Source organism: Homo sapiens, chromosome 2, assembly GCF_000001405.40.
Source record: "Homo sapiens chromosome 2, GRCh38.p14 Primary Assembly".
Lineage (NCBI taxonomy): Eukaryota > Metazoa > Chordata > Mammalia > Primates > Hominidae > Homo > Homo sapiens.
The window spans coordinates 5,174,787-5,179,747 of NC_000002.12; positions in this window are offsets into that span (position 1 = coordinate 5,174,787).

The window sequence follows — 4,961 nt, forward strand, 5'->3', positions numbered from 1 at the left end:
TCGAGTTCACCCAGTATCCTCCTCGTGTTCCTCACTCTGGTAACAATCATAAGCTTCTTGGCCACAGGGGTGGATGTATGATCTAGAGTATGACATCTTTCAGTGGCCTAACATGGTCTAAGACTAAGCATCATTGGAGGTCTTCTAGAGAGTTTTTCAAACTAGAACCGGTGGAGTAGATCCATTTTCATCTTCACTCATGAAGCTAGAAGGTGAAAAACCACAGCATCTGTGGCTGTGCTCACCGTCATGCAAACAGTCTTCCACCCTCATGGAGCATGACCGACAGCCAAGGGGCAGAAAACTCAAAATAAATCATCTCACCCCCAGGTTCAGAATCCTCAGAAATTCCCTTGATACTTCCTTTCTGAGGTTTGGTAGCATGAACAAAAACCTTCCCCTTTGATGGCTTAATCATTGCTTTCACTTTTAATCAAGATTCTGGAATAAAACAAATAGCTTCTGTATGGGGAAATATTCCCACAAATCAGTCATGGTGAGAAGTGCTTCCATAAATGAAAAGACTTTTAACCCTAATGACAACTATGCAAAGAAAGTTTCATTGTTATCTATTAATAGTGACAACAATGCAAAAATAAATATTGTTATATGGGCAGGTGCATGTGACTGACAAGGATTAAGAAACTTTCCACACAGTTGGTAATCAGCTGAGCCAGGTTGTAAACACAGATATCTCTGACCTCAATATTCATGACTTGAATGTAATAATAGCAATCCCAGTTGAATCTGAAACAGATCTACACACTTAAAATACTGGGAGTAAAAAAGATGAACTAAATACTAAGCTTTAAAGAATGCTTTGTAAGCAGTGTCCACATGCTTTTTAAAGAAGTTTTTAGAGAAGATCTGTTGGAGACATTGGTTATGATTTGTGCTTGCCAAATACATAAACTCTACAGGATGTCCAAAGAGCTTTCTCCTACAACTTACCAACCCCAGCATGCAAAGCCATGATAACACCTAGCAAACTGCCTGGTGCTCTGGAAGCCCTGCATGACCCAAGGCAAAAAGAAAACAATGAAAACGAAATTGCTGGAGTTCACATGGATTAACAAAATTTGGTATTTTTACAACACTCCTCTGTCTTCCAGAATATTTTTATTTTGGTTATATTTTATCACTGTTTGTACTTTCTTGAAAGGTTTTATGACCACAGCTCTGCATTCAAAGAAATGAAATTGCCGTATTTTCCCTTGTTTTATTTATTTTATTTTTTCAAATATCTACAATGTTGGTGTATTACTAAACCCTCATTTCAGAAAATGTTGGTCAAAAGTCATATTGATTGCCATAACTGCTAGTTAGACCACATTGAATCAGGCAATGGTAGTAAGTTTGGGAAATAAAGCAGTGTGATGTGGAAGTAGTCATTAAGAAAATGATGTAGATTTGTCACCATTCTTTCAATGAATGGTCTCTTCCTACCCTTTTTTTAGAGAAATAAAATAAACTCAATCACTAAATTTTACCAGATGGGACCAAGCTCTTTTTGAGGTTGGAATTGCCTTCTCCTTTACTCTCTCCCAGCCTGTAGGTTTTCTTTTCCTTTTCATTTTTTAATTTCTTCACAAATCAGATATGCCAAAATTTTGTTATAATTTATTATTACTGCATTTGAAAAAAAATTAACTAACAGTTAGCAAGTGCTGAAAATGGCTTTCAAAGGCCATCAAGCATTTTGCAAAACTTCTGCTTCCATAATTCAGAAATCTGTATTTTAAGGAAAAATTTATGTTTCTGTTTGATTTACATTTAAAAGATTATCCAGCATTTTTGTAAGGCCTGTTTGATATATTGAGTCATATATTTATTTTCATTGCAAGATTGTTTCATCTTTAAGTATTATTTGCTGAACCAAAGGAACAGATTGTTTCATCTTTAAGTATTATTTGCTGAACCAAAGGAACAGCAAAGAATACTACGCCTTTTGTCAGAGATGTCAAGCCTGAACATTTTGAATTAGTTATAGACTAGTCCAACTCTGCTTTAAATCTTAATGGACTTATAAACAGCAAGGGAAAGCAGGAGATCTAGCATAATAACTTTAGAAAAATGAAAAGTATTTTAATAGCAAGAAGTTTCTACTGTTTAAAACTTTACATTAGCAGGAAGCTGTCTATATGAGTCACAATCTTTATTTAGCCAAGGTTACCACTGAGAGTAATTCGAAAAGCGACTTTTGAAGTCACGTATGGAGCATGAAGTAATCTACATCTCCACACCTACTCAGCATGCACAATTATCACTGCTAGTCTGATAAAATATTCTTATTATACCAAACACGGTATACAAGCAGGGAAGCTTATACAAATGTTTTCTCATTCCTCATCTCCAGCCAATCATTCATCCTTTAAAACTTGAAGAACATTTTCTGTTATTGTTTCCTAGGATGAACAGAAAATATTTCATCTCAGGTAGGAGTGTAAGTGGAGGTCTCTAAATCTAAAAAAATAAAAAAGAAAAGAAAAGAAAAGAAAAGAAAATTCCAACCAGGCAAACAACAACAAAAATACTTTTCTATCTCCTGAGCAATTCTGATTCACCTGTGCACCCAGCAGATGTCAATCCATGAATGGATTCTGATATTGATCCTGATTCTAAGCATCTGTGAATTAATTTTAAGAAAATTAAATTAACATACATAAAAACTACTCTGAAATCCAAATATTCTAAATCTATTATTTATAATATTGCTATTCTAAATAATAGTGAAGAAAAATAAATCACAAGAGGATTGCGTGGACCCACTGAAAGCTAAGGCAGGAGGTGAAGGGTAAATGCGTACTTGCGCAGGCCGGGAGAAAGTAAGCAGAGTGGCTGGGGGGTGGCACCAAGCACAATGCTCAACACGAGTCCCCCACAGCCACCCCTGACTCCTGGTCCTGGCCCATCTAATACTAGTGCACATGACTAGTTAAGGACTAGTGTAACCTGGTAGTTAACAGTCAGGTTTTGCCAGAACCTCATTTTTCTGATTCTAAGTCCAGTGTATTGTCTACTACCTACTTCATTCCAAGTTTTCAAATGGAATGTTGCCATATTGAAATTTATTTTAAGCTTGTCAGATAGAAAGCCTTACAATAATGGTGAAACAAAGTTATCTTAGACTCTATTAGGATGTTTTGCAGAGTTCAGAAGCATGTGAAGAAGTTTGAAAAAAAAATTAAAAAACTTCTCTCAAAAAGAATTGATTAAACAGTATTTTCTAAGGGCGCTCCTGTGTCTCCAAGGATTTAAAATTTCATGCAAATAATCTGAACTGCCTAAACCAATAACACTGAATTAAGGTAATAGTGTTTTGCCTGTCAGCGAATTGCTATGACTTTCTGTATGAGCTCAGTCGACCAAATCTGGACATCACAACTTTCTCCTATGATATTTAATTCCCAGAGTATTATGTTCAGAACCTCAAGGTAGATAAATTGTATTTGAGAAACATGATATTTTGGGAAGAAAAGGGAGGATGGCTTTCCAAAATGAAAGGAAATAAAATAAACATCATATAAATTGTATAATTACCACAACAAAACTTAAATACAAGATATCAAATAAAGAGAATATTGACATTTACATGGCTTCTAGAATACTATGGATAGAACAATTTATATTCATGATCTCGAATTTACCAACAATATTTTAGTCTCTTTGTTTATGAACAACTAAGTGTTCATAAAATTTAGGGATAATAGAATTCTTAAGATCATAGGCTCTGGATCTGACTGCTCCAGTTTGAATTCCAGAGTCGCCATTTACGACCCATACAAACTTAGGCAATTATTTGATTTCTCTAAGTAGTTTTACCGTTTGTAAAGTGGAGATTATACAAATACTAAATCTTGGATTATGATGAGGATTTAACATAAGTAATCCATATAAAGAGCCTAGTTAAGTACCTGATACAGGGTGTGTGACCTTGCATTGGATAATCTGGTTGTTATTAAGACAATTATTTTAATAAAATTTGTTTCATTTTGGAAATCTCTATGGCATGCTGGATAGAGGGACAAATGAAGTTTTGTAGTATGCAAAGGACTTTCAACTAAGCCAGTCTGTGAGGTCATTTTGCTTCTGCTCATTAGAAGCTGATGGGAATTGGCCAGGTGAGGTGGCTCATGCCTGTAATCCCAGCACTTTGGGAGGCAGAGGCGGGCAGATCACCTGAGGTCAGGAGTTTGAGACCAGCCTGGCCAATATGGTAAAACCACGTCTCTACTAAAAATACAAAAATTAGCTGGGTGTGGTGGCACGTGCCTGTAATCTTAGCTACTTGGGAGGCTGAGGCAGGAGAATCGTTGGAACCCAGGAGGCGGAGGATGCAGTGAGCCTAGATCACACCACTGCATTCCAGACTGTGTGACAAAGCAAGACTCCATCTCAAAAAAAAAAAAGAAAAAAAAGAAAGAAGTTGATGAGAGTATATAATAATTACAAAATCCAATCATAGTGATAACAATTTTGTAAGTAAGTTAAAGTAATTAACAATTTATATAGGGCTATATTTATTAATGCATTATACATTCTACAAGAAAAATGACAGTATCTGTTGTGTTCAATATTATATCCTTATAGAGTAGGTACTTAACAAATATTTTAAATAAATTACTGAACCTACACTTGAAAACTCTCTAAATGAAGGGATGTTAGGTTTGGTCAGGGTTTACTTGTTTACAGTATCTCAGGTTGCCATAACAAAATACTTGCATTAAAAAAATACTGTTGCTTAAGTAACAGGAATTTATTTCTCACAGCTCTCAAGGCTGGAAAGTCCAAAACGAAGGTGCTGGCTGATTTGTTTTCCTGGTGAGGGCTCTGTCCCCGGCTTGCAGACACTTGCCTTCTTTCTGTATTCTCATAAGTTAAGGAGAGAAGAAACAAAACCTCTTGTGTCTCTTTTTGAAAAGACACTGAACTCATCATGACGACTCTACCCTCAGGACTTC